We start from the raw sequence: 19,957 nt of genomic DNA, 5'->3' as shown, positions 1-19,957 counted from the left end.
TGCAGAATCAGAATGCAGACATGTTTGATTGCAAAGCTCAAGTCTATTTAACCACTATATTACTCTCTGTGCACAGAACAAAATGTCAATAAGAAATTTTACTTGGTTTTACCTATGTTTTAAAGATCTAAGCAGATAATTTTTTCAAAATTTATCCAGATTTTCTGAATCTTCTTATAAAGGAAAAATATCTTATGCCTGCATAAATGAAAGGAGACCAAGATTATTGACTTATTCATTTAGCAAATACATAGTGAGCCCCTATCCTCCACTAGGCATTGTGCTAAATACTAAGGATATAGTAATGATAAGATACATAATCCTTTACCTCATCAGGCTCTGCTCCTAGTGGGTAGACAAAAGAAAAGCAGAAAAAGATGACAACACAACGGGCTGAAATGACCATAATACCGGTATGTGCCAGGTACTGAGAGAGGACGAAGGCTTCACGAGCGTGTTTGAAACCAAGACTTGATAGGTGAATAGCGATCAGCCCTGATGGAGATCTGGACTCTGGCCATGACGTGTTTGGAACTGCCTTGGGATATAGAAATGTTTTTTACAATTCCTGACACTGCAAGCTTGTGTTTTAGTTGGGGGATGCAAGCTAGAATGTGTAAAATATCCATTAATAATACAAGACATATTATGAGTAACTGGTAAATCGTGTGGAACAGCATAAAAGTACAATAGCAATTGAGAGTTGAAGCGAATGAACAGAGTGTGGTGGGTAGTCAGCGGGAAGGAGGGATGGAAGTTGAATGTTTAAAATAAGCAGAATCTGGCTAAATGAGGAAGAGGGGGTGTTGAGGGGACTGAGTATTTTCGGTGACCAACTGAAACAGGGACAGTGTCTACAAGCTCTTGACTCCTAAAGAGACTGGCCTCGATAAAATCAATGTTAAAAATAGCGGGAGAGAAAGGTCTATTGGAAGCTTTGGGCAAAAACGTAGATAGTTTTGAGAAGAGTGGAAGAAATAAGAATACATTTATCTGGGCTGGGTGCGGTGGCTCACGCCTGTAATCTCAGCACTTTGGGGGGCCGATGTTGTTGGATCACTTGAGGTCAGGAGTTAAGAGACCAACCCCACCAACATGGAGAAACCCCATCTCTACTAAAAATACAAAAATTAGCTGGGTATAGTGGCTCGCGCTTGTAGTCCCAGCTACTCGGGAGGCTGAGGCGGGAGAATTGCTTGAACCCAGGAGGTGAAGTTTGCAGTGAGCCGAGATCGTGTCACTTCACTCCAGCCTGGGTGACAGAGCGAGACTCCATCATCCTGATAATAGGTGGTTTGTGAAGAGCACAACATAATCTGAGGTGAATAAGTGAAAAAAGGCCAAATGCATTAAATAAATCATTGCTGTAGACAATTTTTAAAAATTCTATTAACATAATTTGATATATAATATAATTTGGTATTCATGCCACACTGAAGTGAAGAGGCTGCACAGTACTTTAAAAATGAATTGATATTTTCAAGTAAATAATTCCAGTTTATTATTTAATAAGGGTACCTACCTTACTGTGTATCTGACACTGTGAATAAAAGCATCTATGACTCATCATCACCTCTCTAGCTTTCAGTCTAATAGAGGAGGCAAGGAGTAAATGAAATTGTCACACAGTGACCCCCACATTTAACAACTAGATAAGAATTCCAAATCAGAAGCAATCACTAGGAGAGTTCATCATAAATGATGCTGGCCTAGGAATAGAGGAAATTGAGGAAGGTTTTATTCTGATTAAGTGAGATTTAAAGGGAGCTGAAAAATAAATAAATGTTGCTGAGGCAAAAGGCAGGTACGTGTTGTGGACTGAGTAAGGAAGAAGCATCCAGGCTGAAGAAGTAGCATGTACAAATCCCTGGGCAGGAGGGAGAACAGAATATTCTAGCTTGTGAATTTGTTTGAAATGTGCAAGTACATTTGGAGTAGTCACTAATGGTGTCAAATTCCTACTGCTGAAGTAAAATTTCAGCTTCACAGACAAGGACACATGGTTTTATTATTCAGATGTAAAATCTGTACATCTGGCACAAGCAATATAAGTTGGTAAGGTATAAATAATTTGAAAATGCTAGACCATTTTTAAAATTGTACATTTCTCTGCCTGAAAATAGCACTTCTTTTTTTCTTTCTACCTGGAGACAAAAGAAAGATAACTTACACATCTAAAGTCTTGGGTAGAAATAGATTGGGTCTTAAAATTAAACACACATAGTTAGGATTATTTGATCTAGATCAAATAACCACTCCTATGTTGATTAATGTAGCTCTTAAGTAAAATTCATCTCCTTTTCCTTCCTCTGTTTCATTTATTTGCTTTTGTGGTAAACTTGCTTATTTTTGAATGTGATTTAAATACTGTTTTTAGCAATCATGAAAACAAATGTTAAAATTGTTTTTGATTAAAAACTTACATTTTGTTCTGCTGCTCATAAACTTATGAGATCAAAATTTTAATCTTCTATCTTGAACCTAGATGGCTTTTTAGCAATATGAGAAGGAAATATTTATGAATACAACCTTTGTGCAAGGCACTGTGCCAGGCACCACTGTGGGGAATATCACCCCATTTTCATCAAGTTGCTCATAGTCTAGATGGGAAGCCTAAACTTAAATTATATATATAATTATATATCCTATAGAGATGAATATTATGTATGAAATAAAAATGAGAAGAGAAAAACTTATTTGGGGAAGAAGTTGGTCTGTAGTGTTCTGTATGAGAGCTTCATGGATAAGAAAGCACTAGAGTTGGATCTTGAATTAGGTTGGGATACAAGAGACCTATTAAATTAGTAGACGGGGTATTTATCCATGTCTATTAAATGTCAGAGTCCATATTTCCATCTAGTGTGCTGTATTTTCTCTCTAATGGCATTTTTAAAAATCATGATCAGTTTTGATAGAATTCTTCTATTATAAATACAATGTGTTTTTATTGTTTGTTTTTCAGGAATTTTACTTTAACGGAAGATAGCGGTGAGGGCTTGAACACTAAGGAATTAATGAGAGATCAGGTAACCATCAACCTAAAAGAGCTCAGAGATCAAGCTAAAAGAGCTTGGTTATTTTCATTCTTTCAAGTCTTATTTTCATGAGATAATTTCTTCCAAGGGGCATTAAGATTTGACTTTCGTAATCAGGTCATGATGTGGCCTGCTTGCTTATATGAGAGGTTTTTAGTGCAAAGTGAATTAAATTCATAGAAGAGCATGCTGCTGCTTGAACTTATAAAAAGTTTAGCTTTTAATTTGAACAAGAGTATTTTACTAGAGACAATGGTGATTTTAGACTATGCTGATTATTTACATATTTAAGGAAAAGTGAGTAGATTGTAGTTTTTCCAAATTTGTGGCCATTTTGAGAAGACAGAAATGTATATGTAGTCTAGTTTCACAGAGAATTCCTTTAAGAAATAGCGAAAGAGAAATTGATATAGAAAATACAATTAAGGCCTAATTATATGTGTACTTAATGGATAGGTGAAGGCATTAAGGAAAGACAGAGAGAGAAACAGAGCGAGATCATGTGTATTTCAAGTGTAAACTGGCTATTGTTTTAGGGATTTGTGAAAGGATATTTGGAAATCAATTTTATCACTTGAATATGAGAAAGGATGCCAACAGAAATATAATACTTCACAAAATTATTTTTGCACATGGTGATAATCATCAGTAAGATTTACTTTTGATCAAATAAAGCAGCAGAACAGTGTATCTTACAAATATGCTATTCTCTTCATGACATGATAAATTCTGTGAATTTTCGCAGAGTATCTCTCTCAAAAAACTGTGAGGTTTTAAGATTAGATAAGGTAAGTAAGATAATACAAGGAAGAAAAGAAAGAATTGAGAACTAATAAAAATTAAATCATCAGTTTTCACACTCTAATATTGTTGGCCTTCAAATGGAATGCCATGAATAATTAAACACATGAACAAAAATGCTATTGTGATCATTTCTCAATATTCACAAAAGATAGTTACAACAATCAAAATTTAATCTATGCTTAATACTAGAATATTATTAGTACTTAGATTTTGAATATGATTTTTAACATGTTGAATGTTTTAAGAAAGGGCTTTATCCCAAATGATGACAAAACTATTCATGACAGAATAATCTGAGATTACGGGAAGTTTCCTTATTTGTTCTTGTCTGTTAACTGTTACTCAATTAATTTGTTAACCTGAGGCTGAACATTAACTCCATAGCTACTTGATAATAATGTTTAAAAATATGTAATAACAGAAGTTGAACATATGTTTACTAGACACTAGGAACTATTTTAAACCTAGGCATTACTTTAATTCTCACACTATTCATACAACATACATGTCTATTGTAGTATAATCAATAATTTCATAAATAAGAAACATAAAGCTTAAGAATTTAACACCCTTGAGGCAATTAAGATGGTAAGTCATTGAGCTAGAGTTCGAACCCAGGTCCCCCAAAATTTTAACCATCAGGTTATCCTGCCGTCCATAGAAAGGACCACAAATACCCTACTCAGTAACTACAGGGGTTCCAGTAACTGGGTTACAGAACTTCAGAGAACCACTTACTAACTGAGCTAGTCATTTATTCTCCCTAAACTTCATGCTAATTATCTTTAATGCAGCATTCATGTTAGTACTTACAACCTCTTAGGTCTGAAGTAATAATTTAATAATGTAATGCACAGAGGTAGTTTAATAGTTTAATTTCTATTATGCATGACCCTAAGTAAGTGAGCATTAAAATAGCTTTTATTATTGTTCTTAGATTCATATATCTATCTATGTTTATAAAACTGGGTACCTTAGATTTGTGTGGCATAGCAGAGCTTTCAAAATGTTTTCACACATAAAATATTCATACATATGTTATTTAACATTTTACGTCATGTTTAATTAAGATAGGCTTAACATCCACGATTTTAAGGCTTAAGAATGACATATAAAATTCAGGTGCTGCAACTCAACTAGCTTTTGGGAAAAAAAACACAGAATACACTTTTTTTTAGGTCTGAGATTCAGTTCTGAAGAGTTTGCTGCTTTACTTACTGAATTTACTCACTTGAAATATGGCTTTCTTTCTATGATTCTGTGGAATTGGCAACCTCTGTTTTTATTCTAACAACGTAATACATTTCTAAATTAATATTATATGGATTTTTTCCCCCATCAAAGATTGCCCCCATTCAGAATAAATACACATGTCCCATACTTTGCCTACAATTTTACTTATCCCATTTGAGGAATGTATCTGTTTTAAGAAAAACAAGAAACATAACCTGATTGTGTTTCGTGGGGTCAGAATCCCGTTCTTTGAGGATTCTCTGATCACAGTAGGTTCTCGACGAATTTTGCTGAAATTGTTGAACATAATTTGAGTAGCTACAAGCTTGGGAGCTAACTATATAAAATTATATCCATGCCGTCAAGTGACTTGCAATTTTATTGGTTAGAATTCTCTTTGAAACAGCTTTTTTTCCAAGACTTTGATAAATGTAATGAATCTTTTTAGAAAATATAGAGAAATGTAGATTATTGTAACCAATGCCAAGATACTCATCTTGATTTTCTTAATTGTCTTCATTGCCAAAAAATTATTGCTTCCATGAAGCTAGGCATGTCCGTCTAATTCAAGTTTCTGTGTGTTTCCTAAAATGTATATATTTCTATTCAATGTATAATATTAAATTTGGATTTTATTCTTTGCATAAAGTGTTATACTGTACTTATTAATTTTTTCCATTTTATTTTTGAGATTAGCCATGTTAATGGACATAGATTTATTTCACTTTAATTGTTGAATAGTATTACATGATTGTAAAATATTGTATTTTGTTTATTCCTCTGGTAATGGGAACAAAATGAACAATAATAAACAATGTTTAATAGTATATTCTTGTACAGATCTCCTTGCTGACATAAGTAGGAATAGTTCTAACAAATATACTTTTGAGTGAAATTGCTGGATTGAAGGGTGTATGTGTTTTCAACTACTTTGGTGTCAGACTCCTTTTGCTCACATTCCATATTCATAGTCAGAAAATCCAAAATGTTGTACCTGTGAAAAATGTCTAGGCATGACTCTTTTTATCATTTCTACTTGTCATTGTGGTCTGGACATCTTCTTGATAAGTTATTGCACCAGCGAACTAACTGGCCTCTTTGCATCCACCCTTCCTCCTATAGACCATCTCCCACACAGCAGCCCAGGGGATACTTCTAGAACTTAATTCAGATCCTATTACTTTTCTGTCTCAAGCCCCATAAGGGCCACTAATTCATTGAGAGTAAAAGACAAAGATGTTATAATAATTTACAGCCCATAGCCACAACTCAAGATTGCTTTGTTTACTTGTTTTCCTTTTTCTTCTTCTCTAGACAGTACATGGAGACTTTCCTTCCACCTTCATCCCCATTTCTGACAATGGGAATCATGAGTCCTTCCTCTCTTCCTGAGGGCGTGGCATTTTGTGGTCCCTATTTAATGTGGGTTTGGTTTCCCATGGGGTTCCCAGCCCCAGATGGCAGACACTGACTTTGACTTTCCTCCTTCTGCCCAGCGGAGCAACAAACCTCAAAGCTCGGTTTACTTAGATTAGCAGATACTCAGGGAAAAAACAGTTAAATGCTCCTGTGATCTTGATTTTGCTGGGTTTCCACTCTCTTTTATAGTATAGATGGTTATTTCCACCAATCCTGTTAACACTTGGCCTCTAAAGAGTTTTATTTTTAATTTTTAAAAATCACCCTTGCTTACTAAACTTACTTTTTAAAGACCAAAAAAAAAAAAAAAAACCATCATGAACATATCCTTTATCAGTAAATGAATATAATAGTCCCAATAATTTTAAACAACCATAAACCATTTGCTTCTCCAGAAAATCAAGGGCTCTAGTCTCTGAGAGGGAGAGTGAATCTACTCTGGTTGAACACATCAAATACTGAATTATTATTATTTTAACTGTCATTTTAGTATTTCCTAGATCTTCAGAAGCTTGTCAGAAATGAAAATGTTATGTGATTATTACATTATTTAGTGCCTTCTGTGAATAAATGTTTACATTTTCCCCTATTTGGACTATCTAAATAGTCTAGAACACTCGTAGCATCTGTTTGAATTTTCGATAGCCTTGGAAAGACAGGACAGAGCACCAAAATGACATGTATGATGGCAACATAAATAAAGACACAAATAAGTATCTACTTTAGATAGCTTTCCTTTTAGATTTTTATTTAACTGGAAAGATATGAAAACAAAAATGTAAAAATCTCCCATAAATTTCTCACTAAAAATATATTAAACACAACAAGAAAAGTGGTGTTATTTCTTTTTTGGCCTTCCCATTCTAATACCAAGAGAAAACAGTTGCTAATAACATGACATATGTTTCTGGATTTCTTCATGCATGTTTACATATACTTTTTATAAAACTTAGATCATATTACATAAACTATCCTGCATACTGCTTTTTTTCACTTTAAGCGGTTATTATAGTAAATGCATACATTTAGTTAATATTTCAAATTATGAATAGTACAGTAATACTAGAATGAGTATTAGACATATGTGGAATTAGAATAAGACCTATGTCAGCACAAAAATAATTAATATACACAGATGGAATTGCCACTTAAAAACCATTTTATAAATTATTTTCAGTTAAGATTATTTTTGTTTTATTCTCGGAAATATTTACTACGGAAAATACAGATGTCATCTTTTTTTTCAATTAATAATATAAGGGCTATATTTATATAGTCGTGTTTGTTTATAATATCATTTGGATAATTTGGTATTATCTTATGAATATACCTCTACTTACTTTAGTGCCTATAGTCAATTTTTTTTCATTTCCTGTCATAATTTAGTAATATGCATTTACATAAAAGATTTCCACATATCTTAACACATAAAACTACAGTATGTGAAAATGATCACTGTAAACTTTTTCTATAATGTATTAATTGGTCATAGCAAAATCATTCCTACTCCTTTGCCTCAGAAAATGATTAGAAGTGAGAGTTTAGACCCGCAGCATCCAATATGTTCGCCAGGAGCCACATGTGGTATTTGGGAATGTGAAATTGGGCAAGTTCAAACTGAACAGTGTTATAACAGTAAAATACACATGGATTTCAATGACTTAGTATGAAGGAAAGGAATATAAAATATTTCATTAATCATGTCATATTGATTTTATTTGAAATGAAAATATTTTTGAACACTAGGCAAATAAAATATATTTTAAAAATTATCTTAATCTTTAATTTAATTGGATTTATTTTTGAAATGTAGCTACTAGAAAATCGACAAATGCATTTGTGGCCCACATTATATTACTTTGGACAGTGCTAGTACAATTTTTTAAATTAATATATACCTCTTGTCTTTGAGACATAAAAATGGAAAGCCAACAAAGAAGGGTGTAACCTACTGAAGCAATTTACTGACTTAGATGTGGCCAAGAACTTTTCCAGGGACCCATGGAACCTACTGCAGATTCCAGAATCAGGAAAGTGAAAACTTGCACAGCTGATAGCACACACTTCTATATTCTTTCATTTTGTCCCCTATGTGATCCTTAAGAACAAGCTAAGTTGAACAGATATACAGGGGCTATGCAAGTGAAAATTTCTGCACTTCACTTGTATGCAAAAAGGATGAACGACAAGTAAGAAAACTTAAGTATTTAAGTATTCACTGAAAACAAAAACTGCTTCTGGGTTATGCATAGACTGAATCCAGTTTTCTGGATTCAAAGGTTGTCTTAGAACTGTTTGGGGTGCTATAACAAAATTCCTTAGACTGGGTAATTTACAAAAAAATAGATATTTATTACTTACAGTTCTGGAGGCTGGGAAGTCCAAGATCAAGTAACCAGCAGATTTAGTGTTTGGTGAGAGTCAGTTGCTCTAAACAGCACCTCACATGGCAGAAGGGCAAAAGGTCTCCCTCAATCCTCTTTTATTAGGGAAGAAATCATATTCAGGAGGGAAGAGCCCTCCTGACCCAATCACCTCTTAAAAGCTTAATTTATTAATACTGTCACTTGAGGATTAAGTGTTAATCTATAAATTTTAGGGGATAAGCATTAAAATCACAGCATTCTGTCCCTGGTCCCCCAAAGTTAACTTCCTTCTTATTTGCAAAATACATTTACTTCATTCAAATACTCCAAAAGTCTTATCTTATTCCAGCATCAACTTTAAAGTCTAAGTCCAAATATGCATCTAAATATCATCTAAATAAGATATGAGTGAAACTTAAGGTTGTGATTCATTCTGAAGCAAATTTCTTCCCAGCTGTGAGCTTGAGAAATCAAACAAGTGATATGTTTCTAAAATACAATGGTGAAGCAGACATAAATAGACATTCCCATTTCAAAAGTGAGAAATAGTAAGAAAGCAAGAGGTACCTGGTCTCATGAAAGTCCAAAATCCAACAGGGCAAACAACAGGCCCAGGAGAACTGTGGAGGGAAGGATATTCCCAAGACAAGAGACCAGTAGAGCTACCAGTGTGCAACTCCTGCCTGGGAGAGATGCAGGAGTGTGACTTCCATGTATCAGAGCTGCTGCATGAGCTGTGCCCAGCAAAACCATGGGGACATGGCTGCCAGGAGACTTGAGGGCCCATTTACCACCCCAGTTTGTTTGGAAGGTTGACATCAAGTCAGAGATTATTCTTAAGCTTCAAGTCTCTCTGGAGTATTATTTGAAACCTAAGTGGAGATAATTATGTGCCTAGAGCTTGTGTACTCTGCATGCCAACAGAAATAGCACCTTTCAAACACTATCAAGGTAAATTACATGTGCCCTCTGGAGGGGCAGCTGGAAGTGAACTTCTACCTGCTGGAGTCACAGGTGGGGGTAAGACCCTTCAAATCACTCTGCCTCTGAAGACCCTGGAATTCTGGGCCTGTGATGGGAAAGGTAGTCCTGAAGCTCTCTGAAATGCCTTCAGGGTCATTCTGGTTTTTGTTTTTTGTTTGTTTGTTTGTTTGTTTGTTTTTGTTTTTTGAGACAGAGTCTCACTCTGTAGCCCAGGCTGGAATGCAGTAGCACAATTCACAATCTTGGCTCTCTGTAACCTCTGCATCCCAGGTTCAAGTGATTCTCACACTTCAGCCTCATGAGTAGCTGGGACCACAGGCATGTGCCACCACACCTGGCTAATTTTTTGTATTTTTAGTAGAGACAGGGTTTACCATGTTGGCCAGGCTGGTCTTGAACTCCTGGCCTCAAGTGATCTGCCTGCCTCAGCCTCCCAAAGTGCTGGAATTAAAGGTGTGAGCCACCATGCCTGGCCCAGGGTCATTCTTTATTTTTTCTGAGGAGCAGCACCTAGATTCTTTCTATTCATACAAATCTCCTTAATCAAGAGTTGCTCACAAGGTTTGCTTGGCCAGGTCCTTGGTGTTCTCTCTGAAACTCCCTTTTTCATACTTTACAACATGGTCAGGCTAAGAATTTTTCAAATCTTAAATACAGATTCCTTTTCATTATAAATTCCACTTTTAATTTGTTCTCTCTTCTTCCCTTTTACTGTAAATAGTCAAGAGAGACCACGCCATACCCTCAACCTCTCAATACCTTGCTTAGATATTTATTCTGCTAACTATCCAATTTCATCACTTCCGCAAAGCGCTAGAGCACTAACATGATTCAACCAAGTTCTTTGCCACTTTATAAAAAGGATGGCCTTTCCTTCAGTTTCCAATAACATGTTCCTTGGTTGCAGCTGAAACTTCACCAGAATAGTCTTCCCTATCCATATGCCTACAAACATTCTGATCATTACCACTCAGGCAATCTCTTAAGAAGACTGAGAGTTTCTCTATAGCTCTCTTCTGAGCCCTCACCCAAATCGCCCTTAATGCTCCATTCATGATGATGTAGGCTTTTTCTAGTATGTACCTCCAGCCTCCACCAATTAACCAGTTCCAAGGCCACTCCACATTTCAAGGTATTTCTTACAGCAAATACAGTACCCCCATTTCTTTGTACCAATTTCTGTCTTAGTCCATTTTGGCTGTTATAGCCAAATACCATCAACTTGGTAATTTATAAACAATAAAAACTTACTGCTCACAGTTCTGAAGACTGGAAAGTCCAAATCAAAGCACCAGCAGATTCAGAGTCTGGTAAGGGTCTGCTTCTCCTAGACAGTGCCTTTTAGCTGTGTTCGCACATGGTGGAAGGGCAAAAGGTCTCACTCAAGCCTCTTTTATAAGGACACTGCCCCCTTTATAAGGGCAGAGACTTCATAATCTAATCACCTCCTAAAGGCCCTACCTCTTAATACTGCCACATCAGAAATTAGGTTTCAATTTAAAATTGTGGAAGAAGAAGCACTCTGAACACAGCAAAAATGTTCATAAAAGTATCACTGGAGTTCCTTATGTATCAAAGAAAGATTTCAAACAAGTTTTGGTTTTCATTATAATATAGCTTACTGTTTCCTCAATATTGAAAATTAACTACCCAAAGAGTTGATATATAAAATATTTTCAGAAATCAGAGTATTCGGTTAGTTCACTTTGTTTCCAAACAAATTGAATAATAGGTGTGTCCAATTATTTAGAATATTTTTAAATTTAGCTTTGGATAGAAGAAGGGTGGTTTAAGAAAAACTAACAGATCTGATAATACAAGTATTTGAATTCATCGCTCTTCTTGGTTAGATGACCTTTTACAAACTGCTTACATTTCTCGATCTCTGCTCTTCAGATAAAAAAAGTCAAGTTCGTACTAGAACAGCAAAAATGCTGTGCTTATACTTTAAAGTGTTCTGTAGTACAAAATCTTAAAGAAATGCAACTAAGAATATAAATTGTAGAAATGGAAGAAGATTTAGGTAACAGTCAAGTATCCTCATCCAGAGGTCCTCCCAGGGAATTTCCAGGAATTACAAAGGATTCCATTTTGAAAGTTTTCTGTACTGAGCTTATCTGAGTGGCAGTATAAGCTCTCAGTATCAAATAAAAATTGAGCCCTGAAAGAAGCATTTGCCATTTGTCATTCCTAGCAGTGCTGTGTCTTTTAATGCAGTTTATCATTTTAAAATATGACATTCCTGATTAAGTTTTATCATGATAAATATCAGAAAAATATTCACCCATCATCTGCTCACCTAACCCCCTCTTTCCCATTGGTTATGCCAGGCGTCCATGATCATCCTATAGATACCTAGTGAAGGGGGTAAATTTTAGGTAACAATGCTTGCCACATGGTCCTCTATATTCAACCTAAGCTGATTGTACCAGAAACAAATGTAACTCAGAGGCAACAACAGAACAAACAGATCGACCAGTGCCATTATGTCCTGATATCACACCAAAATATGAATTTAGCCTATCAGCTTTCTTCTCTTGAGAATATGAACTCAGAATTAATAACAAAATGAACATATTTTAAGTGGGCAATGTACCTGGAAAACTATGATGTAGAGATGAGCCCTGAGATGGAGTAGAGAATATAGAAGGGTTTTTTAAAAAGTGAATAGATAAGATAAAAATAGAAGGAAGATCTCATAAGAGAAACATTAAGCTGTGATCAATTTTTTTTGGAGTAACATTTTCTTCCATTATATTGAAAACAAAAAATACCATGAATAAAGTATGCATCACTAATTATGTTGCTCATTAATAATCACACAATTGTAAGATGAGCATATATTTTGGATTTGGCCCTACCTTTTACTGTATATGAATCTGCATTTCTTGTGAAGTGGGGACAATAATACAGTTGCTATGGGATTCCATTGGAAATCAAATGAAATAATGTAGGCAAAGAATCTTTTGACTACATTATTTCTAAAATTCTAAATAGAGTTCTAAAAAGACTTTTAGAATATATTAATACTCAGTTCTCAACAAACAATCTTATTAAATATCTTGCTTTTCATTGGAAAACATTTTGGCATTACTCAAATTTGAACAGGAAGATAAATTCTGAGTCTACAGAATGGGTGTCATAATCTACAGAGATAGACCACGATATTTCAAAAGATAGTAAATTTTTAAGGAAATCAGATATTAGCTGAAAAGATTTTTGCCTCTTTCATGACATGACAGTTGAAATTCTCTAATTTTCTTAATGAATTTCACCTGCAACAAAATAGGTGGCAGTATACTAAGCACAATAATAAAACTGTTCTATGTCACCACTCTCAGTAGTGGACTTTTGGCTATGTTTAATAAGTAATTTCTTGCCAAAAATCATGTTATAGTAATAGAATATGATAATCAGAAATGTGGCTTATACTACACAAAAAGCTATTTATCAGGTTTAAGCAGTTCTATTTTTCAAAATAAATACACTAATACATGATATAAATCAAGCTTTTCTGATGTTCAAAAATAGTTTTTGACTGAAGGAGTGATAATATTCAGCCCTTATTACTGACGTAATTATAAACATCCTTGAAACATTCATATGAAGGTGATCACAGGAAAATAAGGCATAGTACAAAACTTGAGCTTGGGCAAGAAACATCACAATGTGAGACAGCTAGAGCCTCAAAAGTGATGCCACGGTGAATATTCTGGGGAATGAAACAGTTCAAATGTTCAAAAATTCAGAAAGGAAATTATGCCTCACCTATGTGAAGCCCTATGTGTCCTTTTTTACATAGCACAATAAAATTCTAAGGGGATTGGGAATTGGTGCAGAAGGAAAGGAGGAATGAAATTATTGCATTTTCACCTTCTCCCACTTTATCACTGGGCTAGGGGATGACTCATGTACATCTTCGTGAAATATCCATTGTCATCAATAAAATGAAGTTGAAGTAAATGTAAAGTTTTATCAATAAAGCAATATTGAAATTAGAATCACACTTATTTCCTGTCATTATTTCCAAGATGCTGAATAATCTAGATGAATGGAAGAAAAAAACGTCAATGAGTTCATCCTTAAATATATTCAGAGAGAAACTTTCAAGAGACCAGACTCAATAAAAGAAAGTAATGAAACATGAGAAACATAATACGGGATAACTAAAAACTCATCCAGTTCTCAAAAGGTTCACATATGAGGAATACTGTTCACCTGCCTGATGGTGCATTTCCTTTTTGCTTACTCTACGAGCATGAAATCAACCAAGCAAGACAAACATGTCTTTTTTATATTGTGTGCTTAATAAGCAGTGATCCATCCTAGTCACTTAAAAACTCTAGTTGAGCAGATCGGATCCCAGTCTTCCAAATGTTTACAAATGGTGATAACACTGGTAGGATTAAACTCCACTGGATACATCACATCTTTTTGTATATAATACATGTTTCTGGATTTCTTTATGCATGTTTACATGTACTTTTTATAAAACTTATGTCATGTTGCATAAGCTATACTGGGTACTGCTTTTTTTTCACATTTCAGGGCTATTATAGTAAATGCATATATTTAAGTAATTTTTCAAATTATGAATTGTACAGCAATACTAGAATAAGAATTAGACATATGTGGGATTAGAAGATGACATACATCAGCCCAAAGAAAAAATAATACCCAAAGATGGAATTACAATGTAAAAACTGCTTTATAAATTATTTTCAGATAATATTATTTTTGTTTTCTTCTCAGAAACATTTTCTGTGGAAAATGCAGATGGTGCAGGTTGGTGAAAGAGTAATTGCAGTTTTTGCATTGCTGAAATTTGCTGTTTGATATCGGAACACATTCTCAAATAAATGTGGTTATGTTTATATCATTTTAATGTGCATTTCTCACTTTATTTTGCTGATGACTTATTACTTGTTGTTTATTTTATATTTATTTTAGACTATGGAAATGATGTTAGACAAAAAGCAAATCTGAGTGATTTTTTTCTCTCTTTTTTTTTTTTTTTTTTGAGACAGAGTCTTGCTATGTCATCAGGCTGGAGTACAGTGGCATGATCTTGGCTCACTGCAACCTCTAACTCCCTGGTTCAAGCTATTCTCCTGCCTCAGCCTCCTGAGTAGCTGGACTACAGGCGCCCGCCACCACGCTCAGCTAATTTTTGCATTTTTAGTAGAGACAGGTTTCACCATGTTGGCCAGGATGGTCTCGATCTCCTGACCTCGTGATCTGCCCGCCTCAGCCTTCCAAAGTGCTGGGATTACAGGCATGAGCCACCACGCCCAGCCGCGATTTTCTTATTTGAGTTCAAAATGGGTCATAAAGCAGCGGAGACAACTCACAACATCAACAACACATTTAGTCCAGGAACTGCTAAGGAACGTACAGTGCAGTGGTGGGTCAAGAAGTTTTGAAAAGGAGGAGAGCCTTAAAGATGAGGAGTGTAGTGGCAGGCCATTGGAAGTTGACAACAACCAATTGAGAGCAATCGTTGAAGGCGATCCTCTTACAGTTACACGAGAAGTTGCTGAAGAATTCAACGTCTACCATTCTATGGTCATTCAGCATTTGAAGCAAATTGGAAAGGTGAAAAAGCTCCATAATTGGGTGCCTCAAGAGCTGAGTGAAAATCAAAGAAATCATTGTCTTGAAGTGTTGTCTTCTCTTATTCTATGCAACAACAATGAACCATTTTTCGATAAGATGTGACATGACTGGCTGGGCGTGGTGGCTCATGCCTGTAATCCCAACACTTTGGGAGGCCACGGTGGCTGGATCACCTGACGTCAGGAGTTCGAGACCAGTCTGACCAATATGGCGAAACCTCGTCTCTACTAAAAATACAAAAATTAGCCGTGTGGGGTGGCGTGCGCCTGTACCCCTCCCAGCTACTCAGGAGGCTGAGACAGGAGAATTGCTTGAACCCAGGAGGTGGAGATTGCAGTGAGCCAAGATCGTGCCACTGCACTCCAGCCTGGGCGACAGAAGGAGACTCTGTCTCAAAAAAAAAAAAAAAAAAAAAAAAAAAAAAAACAACTAAAAAAAAAATTGTGACATGTGACGAAAAGTGGATTTTATACGGCAACCAGCAATGACCAGCTCAGTGTTTGGACCAACAGGAGGCTCCAAAGTACGTCTCAAAGCCAAACTTGCACCAAGAAAAGGTCATGGTCCCTGTTTGGTGGTCTGCTGCCAGTCTGATCCACTACAGTTTCTGAATCCTGGTGAAACCACTATATCTGAAAAGTATGCACAACAGATTGATGAAACGCACTGAAAACTGCAATGCCCGCAGCCGGCGTTGGTCAACAGAAAGGGCCCAATTCTTCTCCATGACAATGCCTGACCACACGTTCGTTGCACAACCAATGTTTCAAAAGTTGAATGAATTGGGTTACAAAGTTTTGCCTCATCCACCATATTCACATGACTTCTCACCAACTGAATACCACCTCTTCAAGTATCGCGACAACTTTTGTCAGGAAAAATGCTTCCATAACCAGCAGGATGGCGAACATGCTTTCCAAGAGTTCGTCAAGTCCCAAAGCATGATTTTTACACTACAAGAACAAACAAACTTATTTCTTGCTGGCAAAAAGGTGTGGATTGTAATGGTTGCTATTTTGACTAATAAAGATGTGTTTGAGCCTAGTTATAATGATTTAAAATTCACAGTCCAACCGCAATTACATTTGCACCAACCTAATAAACTGATGTCACGTATGGACAGTGTGTAAGGGAAGAATGCTCCTCTGAGGCACCACACCACAAGTCATTTACATTAGAGCTCAGAGACATCTACTAAATACAATTAATGTTTGACTTATATTTCATACGTTTTTTTAAAAATTACAAAACAAAAATATTACAAAATTAAATAAGCATGCAAGGCATACTTGAAGTCATGAAATAATCTCAGGAGAAAGAAAGAGTAAAGGCAACAACAGCATAGGTAATTTAAGGCACTTCTTTTTCCTAAATATGCTTGTCTTCCAATCTTTTAATCATTGTTCTGGCATGTAGCCCAAGCTAAAGCATAATCTTTTGAACAGTTCTCTGCAGCTGTCTGAGTGCTCTAGGTGGATGGTGAAGGGGTTAAAATGTGCTATTCCTGCATATTGACGACTTAAGTTAAAGACACTTGAAAAATAGCAGATGTGAAAAGATCACATTGACCTTGGGCTGTTTCTCAAAAGCAGAACAAGAAATTCCCATGTGAAAGGTGCTCTTCCTGTATTAGAAAGAGACAACGTCCTTATCCTCAAGGACGGGAAGTCGAAACTGAGAGAATTCTATGCAGACATTGCTAATATAACTCTGAAGTCTCCACATATAATTTAGTTGCTTCTTCACTTTTACTACTCTTTGTCTTATTCACTATATATAAGTAATAGATTCTAACTGCTTCTTTAGGTCTTCCTTTTTTTTATGAGGGCTCACATGCCATATAAAACTTACATTTTGCTTTTCTCTTGTTAATCTAATTTTTGTAAATTTAATTCTCAGACCCAATCGGAATGCTAAGAGGATAGAGGTGGAGTTGTTCTGACCCTACAAAAGAGAGATGCGATACTACTAGCTGTTAGGATTCACAGACCAGTTAAGATTAATACATGTCTGTGTCTCCATATCTTTAAAGTACATTCATTCTCATTAAAAGAGTAAACATATAGCCATATGGATTATTTAGCATCCTGAATGTTAGAAACAGAAAGACAAAAATTTGTACTTTTAAGGATGGAGAAATATTAGATTGTATTATTGAAGTAATATTTCTATTCTCTATTAACATGGCAACTTTTTGGGGAAGAGTATTTTTCTTTTTCTTTTTTTGGAAAGTCCTTGAAAGAGACTTACAGAGACTCAGGCAAACACTTAAATGTTATGTTTGAGGCTGGCATGAAAACCGTTTTGCACTATGGTCATTTAAAGTAAGACTCTTTCTAAATATTAACCAGGGTCATTTTCCAGATTATTTAACTCTGTGGCTAAATGTGCCATGAGAAATGAAACTTCTGACTCTTAGGCTGCAGTGTTAATGGACTGATTCCTTTTCCTTACAGCATATTGTGGATATTCTGTTCACATGTGTTATAAAGAATAATGATAGCTTTATGCAATATATATTTTTGTAATCTGGGAAAATGTATATTACTTTATATCACATTTGATTTCTCATATAAATTACTGTAGCCCTTTGAAAAAACTTTGAAAATCCATCTTTGGAGTTCACTATATTAGTCATGCCTTTTAGTGTTCTTTATTTGTATTTTTTGACAATAATGAAATTACTTAATGTCATTTCAAGTTCATCCCATTACATATACACATGAACTCAGAGCTGGGGTAATTCACTTATGTAGTTCACATCTCCTTTGTTACAGATGGTAAACATGCAGATTTCTCCCTCCAGGAAAGAAACTCTTTCATAAGATAATTGCATATTCTGCTCATTTTTTTCTCTTACTGATGCTTTCGTACTGTTATTACACCCTGTCAGATTAGTAATTAGCACGCAACCTCCATATGACATAAATGCATTTCTCTTGCTTTCTTAAAAGCCCCTTTAGCGACTCAAAGCATATTATAACTCCAGCTGGTCAAAAAGAGAGGAAATAAATAATATAACAGGAACAACTGGAAGAGCAAGTGCAGCATCAGGTTGGTGCATTTCTTCTGATCAAAAGGTCGAATTGCAACTGGTCTTTGAAGAGTGTGCTGGTGACAGTGTGCAACCTTTGCAGTAAGTATTTTTTTCATTACTTTTTAATGAATAATTGAATTAACAGCCTCAATCACAATCTGAGGGAGGAAATTAGCTGAAGAAAGAGAGAACCCTGTGATAAGCCTTCTGAAAAAGAGAAAAATAAAAGGGTTAATCCATAGGTCAACCTTAAGAGGGACTAAAGATCCCAAAAAAAAACTGACCAAAGAGTCTATGCCTAGTAGAGTCAGTTTGAAATTATGTAGATTAGAAATGGGATTACAGGAACAAGTTGCTAATTCATATCCCTATACGGAGGAAAATTCAGTCTGCTTGGATTATCTTTTTCAAAAGGAAAATAATTCAATAAGCAATAATCAAGGTGAAAGTATTCTGTGGAATTTCTATACTGAATAGAATTGGTTATTTAATTTGCAAAGTTCAGTGTAAAACGAAAATGCAAGTTTGCTTATTCAAAGTTACTAAGAATTTCAAATTGTCAAAATAGTGATAGCAGAGCCTTAAACTGGTTGGGGGAAGGGAATGCAGTGAGGATAGGAGCGGGTATCAGGGGGGTTCTAAGTGGGACTATACAGGTTGCATGTCTATGAATCTGGTCTTGCTCCTGCAGGTAGCTCCTGGACTGGCCCTAGACTGCTGTCAAATTAAACCAGCACTGTAAAGAAGAGAGCAAGTTGAATGAAGTTGAATGAAGGGGCATCTTAATTCCAATCCTGGCTCTAATGCTGACTGTAAGCATGACCCCGGATGAGTTATTCACTCTCTCAGTCTCAGTCTCCTCATCCACAAAGCAGGGATCACAATAAATGAATAGCACCTTTCACAGAACCCACCATATATACTGAGTGTTCAATAAATACCGTGTTCATCATCTAACATCATAACACATTGAGCATCCATCAAAGCAGAAGTAGTTCGCACCTGGATATTTCTGTTTCTTTTTTTTTTTTTGCTATCCTACTGGTGTTTTACTTAAATTTAGTGTGGTAATATGAAAGAAAATTACTGCTCTTCTGCTATTTAGTTAGCATTTTTATGCTTTTTAAAAAATATTGCAATAAAATTAATAAAATTTGAATTCAGTCTTTCCTATTTAACTAATATTATCTAAAAATAACTACCTCCCAGGACCACATTATACAACAACATATAGTAGCTACCTAGGGGCAGCTATCTTAATTGTTGAGAAAATTCTACAAAGAAAGTACCTTCTTCTGGACATCATACCTATTCATATTGCCAGTGTCAGGGATGTTTACCATGGTTATGGTATGGTAATAACATGATACTGATCATCAGTACGCAGCAAATGAACATACTTTCTCAATTCTAATAAAGCATCAATTGGGACACACAGGCCATAAAATGACTAATAGCCTTTA

The 19,957-nt window shown here is 35.4% G+C and overlaps 2 long non-coding RNA genes across 2 annotated transcripts in view; one reads left to right on the top strand and one right to left on the bottom strand.

Moving 5' to 3' along the window:
• Positions 1-19,957, bottom strand: part of LINC03000 (long intergenic non-protein coding RNA 3000) — a 765,030-nt gene that overhangs the window by 593,910 nt on the left and 151,163 nt on the right. The gene's annotated exons all lie outside the window — the stretch shown is intronic.
• Positions 423-19,403, top strand: LINC02143 (long intergenic non-protein coding RNA 2143). The gene is made up of 4 exons (NR_105064.1): positions 423-478; positions 2,963-3,026; positions 18,412-18,593; positions 19,186-19,403. It is a non-coding gene; the product is annotated as a long intergenic non-protein coding RNA 2143 (long non-coding RNA).

Source organism: Homo sapiens, chromosome 5, assembly GCF_000001405.40.
Source record: "Homo sapiens chromosome 5, GRCh38.p14 Primary Assembly".
NCBI classification, from domain to species: domain Eukaryota; kingdom Metazoa; phylum Chordata; class Mammalia; order Primates; family Hominidae; genus Homo; species Homo sapiens.
The sequence above is the reverse complement of the archived record's forward strand: the minus strand, read 5'-3'. Positions and strand labels throughout refer to the sequence as shown.